The sequence below is a fragment of the Homo sapiens genome, chromosome 5, assembly GCF_000001405.40.
Source record: "Homo sapiens chromosome 5, GRCh38.p14 Primary Assembly".
NCBI classification, from domain to species: Eukaryota; Metazoa; Chordata; class Mammalia; order Primates; family Hominidae; genus Homo; species Homo sapiens.
Window position 1 is genome coordinate 76639530 of NC_000005.10, and position 18104 is coordinate 76657633.

At 38.7% G+C, this 18104-nt stretch overlaps 1 protein-coding gene across 12 annotated transcripts in view; it reads left to right on the forward strand.

The window, feature by feature from the left end:
- IQGAP2 (IQ motif containing GTPase activating protein 2) overlaps positions 1–18104 on the forward strand; it is a 304848-nt gene that overhangs the window by 236245 nt on the left and 50499 nt on the right. For 9 of the 12 annotated variants that reach the window (NM_006633.5, XM_047416641.1, XM_005248410.4 and 6 more), the window contains 4 exons: positions 1404–1574; positions 13221–13304; positions 14671–14742; positions 15405–15474. In NM_006633.5, coding sequence (NP_006624.3) covers positions 1404–1574; positions 13221–13304; positions 14671–14742; positions 15405–15474 — 397 coding nt within the window. The remainder of the gene's footprint in view (positions 1–1403; positions 1575–13220; positions 13305–14670; positions 14743–15404; positions 15475–18104) is intronic. The other 3 variants (XM_017008960.2, NM_001285462.2, NM_001285461.2) reach the window with 1 other exon arrangement.

Sequence of the window (18104 nt, forward strand, 5' to 3'; positions counted from 1 at the left end):
GATGTGAAACCTGCTGATAATGGATCCACGCGTCATAATATGTTTAAAGAGGAAATACTGATGATAATTAAGTTCTATTTTGGGAAAAAACAAGAACACATATCTTATAGAATCGTTAAAAGTCAGCATCAAAGATATCGCAGTGTGGCAGTATTGCAGACAGAATCACCAATGCAGTATTTACTAAAACTTAGAGGAAAAAAACATGATCTGAGTCTGACCAATGCTACCAAAAATACTTAATGACAAGAAGATAGTGAAGAACACAGTTTATTGACTCATTTCAGTTGTTCAGAGGTCGTACAACTTTTAGGAAAACGACATTGTAGCAATGGATTATTAGTGCTAATTTTGAAGAAAAAAATGAAATTATAGACATACTAAAAATTTATATGCCATGGTTGAAAAGATGTATCAAACTATAAAGCAGCAGCATCGAAGATTTAAAATTTAGAATAAAAATTGATCATGTGGCATCCCAAGATATACCCCAGGTATAACTTTTTGTTATATCAAGCATCAGTCTGTTAAGATTATTAACCAGTGGAAGGTCTAACACTGTTATAAAAAATTGTATTTATTCTAAACAACTGGAATCCAGTTACCTGTTTTATTCAATGAATGCATACATATATGTCTTCTCTTAAAGATATGTATGCATCTTTGGTATGATTTCACTTTTAGCTCTTTAAGTTAACCAACCATTAATTCCAGTTGTACTAGATAAGAGTCATCAGCTGTAGAAGTGACAGTCCAGTCTTTCTTTGCATCTCTCATCGGGCATAAAAGTAAACCCTGTTCATACCCCACATGAAACTTTCTTATAACCCCCTTCTTCCTTTTTTCTCATTCTTCTAGATTTCTGCTCTCTATCCTTAATAGCACTTATCTTGCCTCTCCCACCCCTTTGTCTTTTGCCCCAGAGCATCATTCTGAGTTTGGCCACAGCTCGTTACAGGGGTCTGCCTACTCTGGCCTGGGGAAGAAATGGGAAAGAAGTCTGAGGACCTTATGGCCATTGCAGTCTTTTCCTTGGCAGTCCGAGGGAAGCGGGAGGTGATGCATGTTTTTACAGCAAGCATCCTTGTCCCTTTACATTCTGTGGAGCTCAGGCCTCATGCCTGGTCCTTGCCAGCATCATCCATACATCTCTGCCTCCAAATCCTGAGATCATTGAGCTGCATTCTCTTGCCACCTCAGCACCAAGCTCAGAGATTCCAAAATCATATTGCTAGAAAGAAGTTAAGCCAGTTTCATCCCTCAGCTCTGCTTAAATTTGTTTTTAAACCAAGCCAAAAGGAGACATCCATATTATTTTCTAAAAGATAAAATATCAGAAGCTATTCTATGTGTGCCTTTCAGCTGATGTGTGAAGTGTAACCATAAGAAATATCTCTTGCCAGGACATTATTGAGGAAGTCACAGTAGGTTACATTCGTGAGAATATATGGTCTGCTTCAGAAGAGTTGCTTCTTCGCTTTCAAGCCACAAGCTCAGGACCCATCCTTAGGGAAGAGTTTGAAGCTAGAAAATCATTTTTGCATGAACAAGAAGAGAATGTGGTCAAAATACAGGTATGTGGATCACCTGCCACTGTTTACACAAAACTGTCATATCACCTGAAAATGTTTTATTTGATAATAGAATAGTCAACTACCAGCATTCCTATAAACAAATCTGACTGCATATTTTTACATAATCAGTGCCCCTAGTCTACTTCACTAAGGCTTTAAAATAGGAAGCATTTTGATGATGAATGACTTAACCTATGGTCTTCTAGAGAGCATTTAGGAGCACCGCAGATTTGCACAGATCCACCTGCTGCCAACCTAGTTGGACCCAAAGGGATATACCTTGGATCAGAGTTGAAATCATACCTGACTTGGGGACTTTACAATTTGGCTTTTTTGTGGTTAGTAGATGTTGAGTGGCGTCTTAGTTTCTGTGCTGTTCTAGCCTGAAAGAACAGGAGAACTAATGAAATAAACAGATTTAGCCTCTCTAAGAATGTCTTCTACCTTCTGTAATCTGTCACTCTTCATTTAGGCCTTCAGGAGAAACCTTCATTCCCAATTTTTTTGCTATAAATTGTTCTTAAGTTTGCATGACTTGTCTAAACTTTCTGATTGGCAGGAGAATTTGCCAGGTTTAGATGTTTCTCTTCTGTATTCCTATAGCGCCCCCTACCAGTCACCACACTGGTTTGTGAAAGGCTGTGAGTTTGTTCTTTTTATTGTGAGTTCAAAGGGGTATTATTAACAACTGGTAAAGTCTGATGCTGATGGGTTTTTACTTTGAAGTTTCCTAAATTGAACATTTTTCTGTTGAAGACCTTCTTTTTTGTGTGGTCACTGGTGAACTCATCTGCTTTTCCCACCTAACTGTAATGTCCAAGGCAGAAAATGAATTTTACAAACATTTGTCTTCTTGTATCTTGCACATGATAGGTGCTTACATATTTAAATTTGCTTGGAGCTTAAGATATTATTAGCAAAGCAGAAATAATTAATTTTATAAAAGAAATTTCTACTATAAATCTGACACTCAAAGGATTTTTCTAGGTGGGCCAATGAGTTTACAATGTATTCCTTTAAACAAATAGTAGGCAAAACACACAGGAAGTGAACAAAAGCCTAAAAATAGTCATCTACACTGATGAGACTCTAATTTTGCACAAATTTCACGTGTCAGCCAATATAAAATTGGGACCCCACACTCTCCAGTCTCAGGTCACACAGCAGTGTTGCAGTTGGAAGATATACCACAGAGCCCACCAGTACAGAATCCCTCTATATTAGAAACCAGGGCTGAAGGATGAGAGAAATGGGGTAAGGACAGGAACGATCATTTGGAGCCTTTTTCCTCCACCTCAGCAGAGGCAAAAGAATTGACGAAGCAGCCATCAAACCATGAAGTCACCTCACCACGCCTTTTTTTCAGTCTTCTGACAATTTTCCAAAACAGAGGGCATGAGGCCTAAAGGTAAGCCTACTTTACAGATGTGGACCAGAAGTGAATAATACAGTTAATAGGAACCTGCTGACCCATAAAACCAAGAGACTGTGAACCAAAAGGTGTCATGCTAATCTCATTTCTCACCAAAGTGGCTGGTTCACCTTCAAGTAGGAAAATGTTCTGATATCTGAGAAGGTCCCCTACGTAAAACACTGTGAGCTTCCTAGCTGGCTGAACTGCCCCCCAGACACAGTAGTCTTAACACATTTGGAGAGAAATACAAAGGCAAAACTCCTAGGCCGAGGCCAGCTATACTCCGGCTACACCACCCTCCCTGCCATCAGTGGTCTGCCAAGGAAATGAGTAGTGGTACAGAGAATGTGCAGCATGATCAACATCCAGCATTCTGTCTCAAGTGCTTATGGAGTTAACTGGGAGGTGCCCAGGTCAATATAGAGGAAGTCAAGGAGAATCTACATAGCCATATTATTTTTGAGCAGTTAGAAGTCCCCGATAAAATTGCCTGAGTGAGCCAGAAAAAAAAATCTGTTCATAAACAAAAAAGATTTTATATCAGAAATAGAAAAAGGAATGTAACTTGTAAAATATAAGTGGAGTAGATATCTAGAGTTACTCTTCCAGAAGACAGGAGAAAATTTTATACTGAAGCTGCTTTATACTGTCAAGGAATTTGATAAGACATGGACTTAATGAAATAAGAAGACAATAGAATAATAAAATGAAAAGACAGCTGACAGCTAAGGAGAGGAAGAGAAATAATGATGTTATAGAATGTAAATGAATTTATAACTGCAGAATGCAAATTAGACACTGAACATAATTGGAGCAGACACAAAAAACTTCAGAAAAATCCACAAAAGATGAGAGAAAGAATAGATGACTAAAAACACACTTTCTCATCTGAAAAATATAATGCCCATTTTATTGCAGGGTGGTGAAGACTGACTGGAATAATTCACATAACAGATGTTTCCTAGTATTTGCTTCTCAAGTGCTTGATAAACTTTAGAAATGGTAAGATGATAGAGATAATGACTCAGAAGGCAGATAATGGGGATCCAATATTGATATTGTTGGTGTGGCACAGGAAAACATCAGAAAAAAATGAAATAGGATTAGAGTAGGTAACTACAGGAGGAAGTTTTTTTCATGAACTGAAGAAAGCTAGTATACTACTTTTTAGGAAAGGACATAATAGTGGCAAACACCAAAACTTAGCCCTGAGAATTAATGAATTATTGAACTTCAGCTCAGGGAGTGCCACAAGCATCCTGGTGAAGAAAAACAAGCTACTCTGAAGGAACTTCACTTCGCCAGGAGCAGTGGCAGAGTCTGTGGGCCAAGAGGAAGGGGATGGCCTGGGAGAGTCGGTCCTCAGTTGTTTTAATGTAACCGACTGCTCTTATAGATGGCTGGATTTTTTTTACCTTTGAGGAGAGGGAGAAGAGGTAAATGTTTAGGGCTTTCTTGGCTAACCGAGATCACACAAGTATTCTGTGCATCAGAAGTTGGCATTGGTAATTTGAATATCTCTATACTGAGTGTCCAGTTATCAAGCATAGCAGCCAGTGTATCAAGCCAGATTTCCCAGAGAGTAATAGTTAAAGTCTATAAAATAGAGCAATGACCTCTGAGGTCTAAGCGTTTTGACAGACTTCTTTTATACAGATACTCTGCACAGAAAATATATTTATGGTACTAGAAAACAAAACAAATAAGATGGCTATTATAAATTTTCCCACAAGTTCCCATACCAGGCAGGAGAATGAGACTGCCATTTTTGTAAATCCTTTTTTTTTTTTTTTTTTTTTTGAGACAGAGTCTTGCTCTGTCGCCCAGGCTGGAGTGCAGTGGCACCATCCCAGCTCACTGCAACCTCCACCTCCTGGGTTCAAGTGATTCTCATGCCTCAGCTTCCCAAGTAGCTGGGATTACTGGCATGCGCCACCACACCCAGCTCATTTTGGTATTTTTTATAGAGACAGAATTTCACCATGTTGGCCAGGCTGGTCTTGAACTCTTGGCCTCGAGTGATCTGCCTGCCTCGGCTTTCCAAAGTGCTGGGATTATAGGCATAAGCCACCACACCTGGCCTGTAAATCCCATCTGTCTGTAATTTTCAAAGTTTCTTTATATCAACTGTATACCCATATTTGCTTATAATAAACAGCCTCTAATTAGAGAAGAGATTACAATGTCATGGCTATGCACAAGAGTTCTGTTGTTAGGACATAATAGGAAAAGCTCATCTCAAAGGAACTAAAACTTACAGACTAAAAAAAGAAAAACAGAATTTTGGCAAATGAAAGATGAGGCATGTAGTATTCTGCTTCTATGGAACAAAAAAATTCTTTTATTATTATGCTTTAAGTTCGGGATACATGTGCAGAATGTGCAGGTTTGTTACATAGGTATACACGTGCCATGGTGGTTTGCTGCACCCATCAACCCACCATCTAGATTAGGTATTTCTCCTAATGCTATCCCTCCCCTAGTTCCCCACCCCCTGACAAGCCCCAGTGTGTGATGTTCCCCTCCCTGTGTCCATATGTTCTCATTGTTCAACTCCTACTTATGAGTGAGAACATGCGGTGTTTGGTTTTCTGTTCCTGTGTTAGTTTGCTGAGAATGATGGTTTCCAGCTTCATCCATGTCCCTGCAAAGGATGTGAACTCATCCTTTTTTATGGCTGCATAGTATTCCATGGTGTATGTGTGCCACATTTTCTTTATCCAGTCTGTCATTGATGGGCATTTGAGTTGGTTCCAATCCTTTGCTATTGTGAACAGCACTGCAGTAAACATACTTGTGCATGTGTCTTTATAGTAGAATGATTTATATCCTTTGGGTACATACCCAGTAATGGGATTGCTGAGTCAAATGGTATTTCTGGTTCTAGATCCTTGAGGAATTGCCACACTGTCTTCCACAATGGTTGAACTAAGTTACACTCCCACCAGTAGTGTAAAAAGCATTCCTATTTCTCCACATCCTCTCCAGCATCTATTGTTTCCTGACGTTTTAATGATTGCCATTCCAACTGGCGTGAGATGGTATCTCATTGTGATTTTGATTTGTATTTCTCTGATGACCAGTGATGATGAGCTTTTTTTCATGTTTGTTGACTGCATAAATGTCTTCTTTTGAGAAGTGTCTCTTCATATCCAGGAGCAAAAAAATTATATTCCCAGCCAAGCTGCCTTTGTTTGGAAACGTAAAAAAACTCATAAATATAGAAGAATACCAGAAAATTTTACATAAATAGTTATGAGATGAAACATAATAATGAGCTCTCAAGGTAAATAGTTAATCCTTAGTATATTAAAAAAAAAAAAACAGAATGGACGAATGGGGTAATTTTGCCAATGCAGGAATGATTCAATATTAAATAATCTGTTACTATGACAGGTCACTTATTCAGAATGTTTGCGAATCTCAGATAATTGAAATTAAGTGTTTTTGGAGTTTAGGTAATTCCAGAAGAGCAGAATAGGAACTTGAGCTAATTCCAATTATCTTGTTTAGCCTTTCAGTATGGACTAAGGAAGGAGTGGAATTTATAATATACATTCAAACAATTGCACTTCTCTGCTTTAAACCAGTGTTAACCACCAAAATATAGGAACTGTTAAGATCCATCACAACACATGTTTTACTGGTTGGACTGCCATGGAATCCCAGTGACCCACGATTAGGGTCCACTTCCCCTAGTTTCTGTTGTGCTGTTGGGCCACTTTTATGAACAACTGTTGGTGACATCAGAGAATTTTGCCCATCTCAGAATTGTCACACTGTGACAAATCCCATGGGGTAGCATTTTCTAAACGGATAATTAATTTAAAATTTTTTATTTTGGTTATTTACATTTTTATCATTTAATGTGTGAACACATACCCAATGCTCTCTTTGCCTGGAAGATTGGTAAAAGTACAAAATCTCAAGCCTTCCCCGAGGCCTACTGAATCCTAACCTGCATTCTGACAAGATCCTCGGATGATTTTATATTCACATTAAAGTTTGAGAAGCACCGTTAAGATCACTCCAGTTTCAAAACTCCAGATAATAATTCATCTTCCTGTATAATTCTTTATCACCATAAGAGCTTAAGGGAGAAAAACCCATGTGCTCTTTTCAATAGTTACTGCAAAAGCATTTGATAGAATTCTAGACTCATTCCTGTGTTTTTAAATGATTGCATTGAAGTTTAAGGTTTTTTTTTGAGGGCAATTGGCATCTTTATAATAATAAACTTTACAGTTCAGGCATTAATCTTTTTCCATTTATTAATCTGTTCCAAACTGTACCATTATAATTTTATTCCTTTATATTTAAGTTTACTCATGTATATTTTTCTGCTATTGTGAATAACATCTTTATTCTATTGTGTTGTTTATTCTTGACATGTAGAAAACTTATCAATTTTATATTCATTTTATAACTAGTCACCAGGATGAACTCTTAGTTCTAATAAATTTTTAGTTGATCCTCTTGAGTCATAACTACCATTGACACTTCTGATTTTTTTTTAAATCTTTAATTTTGTCAAGGAATAGATTCACATAGCCTTAATAATATAGTAAGCTTTAAGGACTTAAAAATTATTTGGGCTTGCCTCTGCTTCTGGGGAAATGGAATGCATGTTCTTTTCCCTATTCTTCCGTAAATACAACTAAAAGCCTCCAATATTATATATAAACAAACATAACACTCTTAAAAGTGAAGAGAAAAAAGTCAGACTAAGTAGTGAACCTTGGGACCCAAGGAATGACATAGTGGTGAGTTCTTTGAGTTTTCTTTTTGTTTATATTTTTCTGACCTGGAGCTGGAGAGGCTGGCCACCCAGAAATGCCAATGGGTACAGGCTCTGATATGGTTTGGCTCTGTGTCCCCACCCGAATCTCATCTTGAATTGAACTTCCATAATTCTTGCATGTTGTGGGAGGGACCCAGTGGGAGATAATTTGAATCATGGGGGCGGTTTCCCCCATACTGTTCTTGTGGTAGTGAATAAGTCTCATGAGATGGTTTATAAGGGGTTTCCACTTTTGCTTCTTTCTCATTCTCTCTTGCTGCCACCGTGTAAGAAGTGCCTTTTGCCTTCCACCATGATTGTGAGGCCTCCCCAGCCACATGGAACTGTGAGTCCATTAAACCTGTTTTTCTTCCCAGTCTCAGGTATGTCTGTATCATCAGCGTGAAAACTGATTAATACAGGCTCTAGTGAAAGCCTGCTCTCTGTAGCCAAAGGACCAAGAAAGAAACAGGCTAGCAAGACAGAAATAATTTCAGACAGTAACTGCTCTACTCTAGCCAAACACCACACACACACACACACACACACACACAAACGAAAAAAACTGTAATGCCTCCACCTAGGCAGCAAAGCCTGAATGGCGAGCCTGGACTTCCACCCTCCTGGACTGTAATAAGGCACCCAGACTTATAGAATCTGGATCTTGTGCCCACTGAGCAGTAATGTGGCAGCCCTCCCTCTCCCTGCTAGAGTGGTGTGAGAGGAGCCAAGGCAGAGAGGCAGGACCTTCACACCATCCAGTTGTAATGAGGTCTTTCCCCTCAGTTGGTCAATGGAGGCCACATGGGGAGTAATAAGAAGGCACCCCTACTCTCCCAGCCAGAGTGATATCAAGAGAGGTCCAGTAGGTAGCTGGACCCCCTCCCAGCAATAACGAGGAGGCCTTCCCCACCTTAGTAGTAAGGTTCCTTGGGTCCCAAGATTCACTAGCCTCCTTTTTTTCTCTTCACCTTTAAGAGAGTTATGTTTGTTTATATAGACAGAAACCAAATGGAGAACCTAGCCTTCTCCTCCCACCTCCTAGTAATGAGGCAGTGCCCCCACTTTTTCCTTGCCAAAACAATGTCAGGAAAAGCCACCTAAAACAGTAGGATTAAATAAGATCCAGGACCCCAAACTACCGACATTACCTAAGGTTCAATCACTTGACTGTTTGGATATTGCAATCACAACAATCACTTATGTCAAGAACCAAGAAAATCACAACTTAAGTTTAAAATAACAATTCCTAGGTGCCCACACAGAAATGACGGATGTTAGAATTATCTGACAAGGATTTTTAAAGCAGCTATCATAAAAATGTTAAAATAAGCAATTAGCAATTACTAACATTTGAAGCAAAAGAAAGAACATCTCAGGAAAAAAACTAAAGCCTCAGCAAAGAATTAAAAGGTTTATAAACCACACAGTAACTTTTAGAACTGAAAAATACAGTAACAGATGTGGAAACCCAATGAATAGTCTTTGCAGCAGAATGGAAGGACAGAGGAATGAATCAGTGCACTAGAGACTATAACAACAGAAATTCCCAGATCTGAACAACAAAGAAAAAGCAGACTGAAAGAAATAAAGAACAGAGCCTCAGGGATCAGTGGGATTATAACAGAAGATTTGACATTTGTGTCATCGGATTCCCAGAGGAGAGGAGAAAGAGGCAGTACTGACAAAGTACTTGAAATAAAAGTGGAAATGTTCCAAAAACACAGATTCAAGAAGCTGAGGAAACCTCAGACAGGATAAAGTGAAAGAAATTCACACAAAGACATATCATAGTCAAACTTCTGAAAACAAAAGACAAAGAAAATATTTGGAAAAGCAGTGAGATAGAAACAACTTACCTGTAAGAGGGAGACAGTTCTAATGACAGAGGATTTTTCATAACCTAAGGAGGCCAGAAGGAAGTACAACATTTTTCGGGGGAATCAAAGGCTGAATGAGGAGTCTAGACTTCCACCCTCCTGTAACAAGGCACCCAGACACTTGTAGAACCTGGAGAGAAAATAACTGTCAACATAGAATTTTATATCCAGCAAAAATAACCTTTAGGAATGAAGGAGAAACTAAGAGCACTTGTTACCAGCAAACTTCCCTCAAAGAATGACTACAGATAGCTCTCTAAACCAAAAGGAAATGAAGAAAGAAGAAATTTCGGAACATCAGAAGGGAAGAAAGGATAGCTAGAAGAATAAAAATATGAATAAATACATTTTTCTACTCTTGAGTTTTTAAAGTTGACAGTTGAAGTGCTGTTGTGGCTCTGAATGAAGCCTGCTTCATTCTCTGTGGTTTCTCTCAAGGGATGGCGTTCAGTGTCTGTGGCTTTTCCAGGCACGTGGTACAAGCTGTCGATGGATCTACCATTCTGGGGTCTGGAGGACAGTGGCCATCTGCTCACAGCTCCACTAGGCAATGCCCCAGTGGGGACTCTGTGTAGGAGCTCCAACCCCACACTTCTCCTCCATACTGCCCTAGCAGAGATTCTTCATGACAGTTCTGCTCCTGCAGCAGGCTTCTGCCTGGACACCCAGGCTTTTCCAAACATTCTTTGAAATCTAGGCAGAGGCTCCCAAACCTCGACTTTTGCATTCTATGCACCCACAGGCTTAACATGACATGGAAGGCACTAAGGCTTACAGCTTGCACCCTCTGAAGCAGCAGCCTTAGCTGTACCTGAGCCCCTTTTAGCCATGGTTAGATCTGGAGCGGCTGGGATGCAGGGATTACTGTCCCAAGGCTGTGCAGTGCATCAAGGCCCTGGGCCCACAAAACCATTCTGCCCTCCTAGGCTTCCCAGCCTGTGATGGCAGGGGCTGCTGTGAAGGTCTAAAGCATTGGGGATTTCAGTTCAACATGAGATTTGGGTGGGGATGCAAATCCAAACCATATTAAGGCATGAGCCATCATGTCCAGTTCACATCTTTATATAAGTTTGTATTTGTATTTGTGTGTACAATGATGGGGTATGTGTGTTTACACATGTGCGTATTTCAGAAGATACATAATAAAATGTTAAATAGTAGTTGCCTTTATAAAGTAGCTAGGTGGAAGTAGAGATAGGTACACAGGTATGTATACCCTTTCTCTTTGTTCACTGTGTATTTTAATAGATATTCTAGATATTGAGGTACAGATTGTTTGCATAGAAATATATAGAATTATTCTGTGGGTTTTTTGTTAACATGTGGTATCATAATATGTGTGGTAAGCTAAAATTTCCTTTTCATATTAGCAATATATCTTAGAGGTCTTCCTGTTCTCCAAAATACAGAGCATTGCCATAGTCAGTATATATGACCTTACTTTACTCTTTTTTTATATATATACTTTAAGTTCTAGGGTACATGTGCACAACGTGCAGGTTTGTTACATATGTATACATGTGCCATGTTGGTTTGCTGCGCCCACTAACTCGTCATTTACATTAGGTATTTCTCCTAATGCTATCCCTCCCCGCTCCCTTACTTTACTCTTAACTGATGTGTAACATCCCTCAGTGGGACTGCAATTGCAGTGTCTCTAGCTGTTCCCCCTATTAGTGAACATTTTACTGGATGCACAATTTTGGTATTACAAACAATGCTGTGACAAAAATACTTATATATGGGGCTTTTCTACACAGGTGCTTTAATTTTCCTGGGCTAGATATATTGAAAATTAGAAATACTAGGTGAAAGGCTAAATAATTTTAAATTTGATACTGCTAAATTCCCTCCCCAAAACTATACCCTTTTGTAGTTTCCTCGAGCTCACACTTCACCATCTATGCTTTCTTTGTCCACCGATTGACATATGGATAAGGCAAGAATTTTCCCAAAATTACTCTGACTACCTCAAGCTTAAAGCCATAAAAAAAAGTTTTGACATTTTTTATGGAAATTTGCTCTGCCTCTTCCTCTTTCAGTTCAGTTCTAGTTGCTTTCTGTTTTCTAGGAACCCTCATAATTTTTATCTCTATGCCTTCTTATTTTCTAGCACTATTATGGATTGCTTTAAAAGTATGTTTGGGCCAGGCATGGCTAACACCTGTAATCCCAACACTTTGGGAGGCCAAGGTAGGGTGGATTGCTTGAGTCCAGGAATTCAAGACCAGCCTGGGCAACATAGTGAAACTTAGTCTCTCTGAAAAATAGAAAAATCAGTCAGGCATGGTGGTGCACACCTGTAGTCCCAGCTATTCAGGAGTCTGAGGCAGGAGGATCAGTTGAGCCCAGGAGGTGGAGGCTGCAGTGAGCCATGATTGAGCCACTGCACTGTAGCCTGGGACAAAATGAGACCCTGTCTCAAAAAATAATAAGAAAATAAAAGTATATTTGTATGATGTTACCATTGGGGGAAGCTGTGTAAAGGGGTACACGGAACTCATTGTATAATCTTTTGTCCTTCCTGTGAGTCGATGATTCTTTCCAAATTAAAAGGTTTTTTTTTTTAAACATATTTATGCCTTCTAGGGACTTGGACTGAGGGGAAGTCTGGAGCAAGTGCCCAGTTCGTCATTTTGATTCCATCCTGACTAAATTGTTTTGACTCATTACAAAAATATTATTTTTTTGAAATAACAAAATTTCATTTACCCTTTTTAAAAAGAATGAGGTAAATATATACAGACATGAAAAGAAGTTTATAAAAAAATTTGATTTTTTATATTTGCCCTTTTTAACAAGGAACTTTTACTTCCTTTCTAATTTGAAAAACAGTATCAGAATTGGGGTGAGTTACAAAGATGTTTCAATAAAAAGATGCTCATAAATGAATTGGAATAAACTGTAACAGTTATGAATTTACTTCTTCTAAAGATACTAGTTTGTGTCCAGTTTTTGTAAAGAGTTTCCTGTAAAAATTATTCTTAATGGTGATAATCAGGTAAAGCTATGTTGATGAAGCATTGTTTAACTTTATGTGGGGATATATGAAATGATGGTCAGTTGCAGCACCAGTGTTTTCAGGGATCCAAGGGATTCAGGGCCACAAGTTGGTAGAGCATCCTCCTTTCCAGTCGGGGCCACAGTGGGCCACGTGTTGTGGTAAAGATACTTAATATTAGGCATTATTTTCAAGCATTTTTTGTTGTTATCAAATACCACTAGCACCTAGTTAATACTGTTTATGGGTTTTGGAGAAATTCCATTTTACTCCTTTTTGCCACCCAGGGCCTTGGTAAAGTTAAGCTTTCCAGCAGGAACTGTGCTTCTCCATGTAATTTATCACCCTTACTCTGCTGTCCTAAGCTTAGAACTAGTCTCAGCTGTGAGCTGATGTGCTCTGCTGTGTTTAACTGGCTACCCCCAGAGAGGGTGTCCAGATGAGATCTGAAGGGAGGGTGCCTGACAGTGTCCCAGCTCCATGCGGCCTGAGATGTGCTCTGCTCTTGCACTTCCTAGATAAATTGGGAAACTTGCTGGTAAATAATTCTATAACCCACTCTTTTCCTTAGGCTTTTTGGAAAGGATATAAACAACGGAAGGAGTATATGCACAGGCGGCAAACGTTCATTGATAATACTGATTCTATTGTGAAGGTAAATACCCTTTCCTACCATACCAAGTGCTTGGCTTAAACGTTTCCCCTCATTTCATGTTTAATCTGAAAGACAGCTATAGAAAGGGAGGGTACATGTGAGCCTTGAAGTCAGAAGGCAGTACTGGATTTGAATCCCAGTTCTGCTGCTCATTTACCTAATCATTTTTCAAGCAGGTTGGTTAAACCGGTATAAAACCTCAAGTCCTTTATGAGTGGTTATGAGAATCACAAGTGAAAGTGTTCTATAACCAATAAATGTTCTTTGTCTAGAAAGTTCAAGTTGATTATTTAGACTTTAGGTAGAACCCAGCTTTTTTTCATGTTTCTCTTTCCACATTTGCTTAAGCATATTTAGAATGCTCAGACATAACAGAACAAAACCCATGATAAGAGGAAGTAGAGCTAATTTAGGGCCTATATTTGGGAGCTGAATTAGTCGAACCCAGGTGAATAGCTCTGGGTGAGAAAGAAAGGGTACTGTGATGTCCACTCTCATGGATCTGAAAGCCAGAGGACTGGACAAAAATCAACTTGGAAATCTACAACTTGGAGATCTACAAGTCTCCAGCTTGGAAATCCAGATGAGAGTGGAAGCAATGGAACTGGAAAGTAGAATCAGATTAGTTTAAAGATCTTTCAGGCCAGGCTTAGTGGCTCAAACCTGTAATCTCAGCACTTTGGGAGGCCAAGGTGGGAGGATAGCTTGAGCCCAGGAGTTCAAGACCAGCCTGGGTAACATAGGGGGACCTCATTTGTATTTTAAAAAATAATAATAAATAAAAACAAATTTAAAAAACGTTTTAAACTGTGAAGACAGAGAATAATGTGACCCAGATCCATTGTGCAGTAGCTCCTTGATGAAATAGCATCCTATGGAACATATGCCTATTCTGTCAAAAACCATTGGTAGCAATTGGTCCCTCATGAGACCTCTTCGATGTTTTCCTGTAAAAACTTAAAGGATATTGGATGCATTTAAAGGGATGTTAGAAGAAACCCTAGACTTAGTTTACTTGATTTCCTGACTCATTGCAACTCTCAGCAAAACGCTTCACCCTTCTGGCTTTTATTTACTGAGTTTAAGGTAAAATAGTACAAAGTTAAATTATTTTCCCCACTTCTCTCTTATTAAGGTGGTGAAATTTAGAGTAACATGTAAAGCGTTTTGAACCCCTTAAGAAACCTCAGTGAAAGATGAAGAGTAGGCTTTAGAGATTGATTATTCAGTGGGCTGCTTTTTTTCTTTATCAAGTATCATTGTTTTTAGAAAAACTACACAAAACCGTATTACGGGTTGTTTGGTGATTACTTTGACTTTTCTCTTTATTTTTTGTTGTACTTTTCTATTTTTTAAAACCTTTCAGATTCAGTCCTGGTTCCGAATGGCAACTGCAAGAAAGAGCTATCTTTCAAGACTACAGTATTTCAGAGATCATGTAAGAAAAATGCCTGTGGGATTTTATCCAGGTTGATAATGACCTAAATGAATGCTTTATTGAAAGTTAGCATTGAATGATTTTTATTGAATGGTGAACATGAACACTTAAGAAATAATGGATCTTAGAACTTCATATGATAATATTTGGAGGCTTACTGTTTTCATTCAGAAATCATGTTGAGAGTTAGACTTCACCAGTCAGGACTCGATAGAAAATGGGTGAGGGGAAAACTGTGGGCTAGTAACACCAAAGAGAAGACTCTAGAGAAATATTTTACAGCATTACATATGTAGTTTTTTCAACTGTTAACTGCTTACTTTAAATAGAAGCCCCTGGGAGGGATTTCTTCCTGAATATTTAAAGAAGAGATATGGGAACATAGATTGGATCATCTAAGTTGTGTGCTAAAATTATTTTCCCTTTTTAGATCTCTTTGTCTAGGCAGTTCCCCTACAGTCTTGTTTGTACTTTTAGCTGACTTATCTGACCTCTTCTTCAAAGAAAATGGAAAAATAAATGTTGAATACACCACATTGAAATACTGTCAGTTCTAAGTAGTGTCAGTTCTTAAATACTGACAGTTCTTAAATGTTCTAAATTCAAAAATGATGGAGTAGGTGGGACTCTGGGAGATCAAGACTTGTCTTAATCTTTTGCAGAATAATGAAATTGTGAAAATACAGTCACTGTTGAGAGCGAACAAAGCTAGAGATGACTACAAAACATTGGGTAAGTGAGAGCTTTCTGAAACAAAGCAAGGATTTTTTATAAACCAGGCAAGGACATATTGGTCCATATTGGTCACTTCAGAGGCTGCTCTAAGAACAGAGGATACCCATTGTTTCCAGTAGATTTTGATCATCTCAGGCCCCAGGTTCTAAACCAGTACACAGAGGAGCACATGGTGAAAGGAAATGGGCCTTCCTATTAAATGGAAGGGATCAGCCACATGGTATAATTTCTTCTTCAAAGAGAGTGGAGTTGGCATAAATGCTGATTTTTTTTTTTCAATCTAAGCGAGAGTCAAAAATCTAATGCAAAAGAGTTAGCCAGAAAATAACCTTATATTTAAATTGTTTAATTTGTTAGACATAGTCTCATCTCCCAAAAATGACAACTGCAAATATCTTCCTACAATTTCATTTTGAACTTTTCACAGAATAATTTTTAATTTTTGTTTGTTTTTGTTTTGAGACAGAGTCTCACACTGTCGCCCAGGCTGGAATGCAGTGGCGCAATCTTGGCTCACTGCAACCTCCACCTCCCCAGTTCAAGCAATTCTCCTGCCTCAGCCTTCCGAGTAGCTGGGGTTACAGGCACCAGCCACCACACCCAGCTAATATTTTGTATTTTCAGTACAGCCGGGGTTTCACCATGTGTGCCAGGCTGGTCTTGAACCCCTGACCTCATGATTCACCTGCCTTGGCCTCCCAAAGTGCTGGGATTACAGATTAAATTTTTTAATAAAAATTTGTAGAAAGTTTGAAAATAGCAAAATAAAATTCACCCAAAAATAACAATCACATTTTGTGCTATCTCCTTACAGTCCCAACTTTGCCTATGTTTGTTATTTTGGTTTTTTACAGATCATAAGTTGATTCTTTATATACTAAATTTTTAACATTCTAATTATCACGGGAACATGCACAGTCAAGGAGAGCTTGATGATAAATTTACTAGTACTTACAGTGCCTAGTAAGTTTAGCCAGCACCTTTTATTGTCTAAAGTTTGTCTGAATTAAGGGATGAAGTATATGGCTCAAGAAAGATCTTCCCTGGTACTTGTTAAGGAAAATCTAGGGACGCTTGAAGTCCTCACTCTGCCTCCAGCCTGCAGAATCTACTGAATAATGTCTCATTCCACTAGATTCCAGCTCACCTCTCAGCTGGTAGATATGTTGTTGTTTTTGGGGTTTTTTGTTGGTTTTTTTTGTTTGTTTTTTGTTTTTTGTTTTTTTTTTTTCTTGAGACGGAGTCTCGCTCTTTCGCCCAGGCAGGACTGCAGTGGCGCTATCTCCTGCCTCAGCCTTCCAAGTAGCTGGGACTACAGGCGCCCACCACCGCACCCAGCTAATTTTTTGTATTTTTAGTAGAGATGGGGTTTCACCGTGTTAGCCAGGATGGTCTTAATCTCCTGACCTTGTGGTCCGCCCGCCTCGGCCTCCCAAAATGCTGGGATTACAGGCATGAGCCACTGCGCCCAGCCGTTTTTGGTTTTTTTTTTAAAGAAGGCTAAAGAGGATTTTTTTTTCTGAGCCCTAACACTAAAATATGTTTGCTGTTGCTTTTATATATGAAAGATGACTTCAAAATAAATTTTCCAAATGAACACAGGCTAGTTTTCATTTTATTCAGGTAAAGTGTTTTTTTTTAAGCAGTTATAGTGATGTTTTTTGTTTGTTTACTTTTTTATTACAAAGACAAATTCCAATTTTAAAATCTAGGCAACTTTATATTGGGGCATAAAAGGTAAATAGAGAAACCATCTCGGTGAGTGAGTTAGATCTAAGCTTCTCTGGGCTTCAGCAAATTGGGTGCTTTTATGGTAACCAAAACATAAATTTTCATTTCTTTCTTAGTTCAGCATCTTTAGAAAACTAAGGCTTTGGGATTTTCTAATTTAAAAAAAAAAATAACTTTTCTAAGTTTGTTATCATCTGTTCTCCCCCTTTTATTCTGGAATGTCACTGAACGCATTCCAGCTTGAAAGATGCTGAAACTAAGATGTGGTCAGTTGTAGGAGCAGACTATAAAGTGGTCTGATTTCCTGAAATTAAAATACCTGTACCACAAAGTCATTCTCAGATGAAGATGGCAAAAAGCCTAGTATTGATAGAGGAAATATTAAATTCGAGCCATAACAATTAGTAAAGCTAAAATACTAATTTAGTTTTTTCCGATGGGACTGTTAATACATATGAAGAGACACAACCCTTAGTGGGTGGGAGAGGCAGCCATCAACTCTGGCCACAGTGGGAGGGCTCATGTTCCCCTAACTTGGCTGCATGGATGAGCGGTGGTGCATTGCTAAGGCCTTCCCTGAAGTGGTCATGTCAGTGGCAGCATCTTTGCTGGAAATAGAAGGAAAATAAATTGATGTGCTTCAGTGGTCAGGAAATAAAGGGTCCCATGATCCAAGGAAAATTCTCCAATAAAGGCCATTTATGCAGTTGTTTGTGGTTTATGCAGTTGTTTTGGTGTTAGTTTTCTTACTCCTTTAGTGTCAAAACACCACAGAACTAAGGTGGAAGTAAAAGGAAGACTGTCAAGGGCCTAGGTGTAAAGGAGGGCAACTAATGAGATGGCCATGGCTGGACTAGCTCTTCCAAGTCATCTTTCTATTACTGGGTCTAATCATT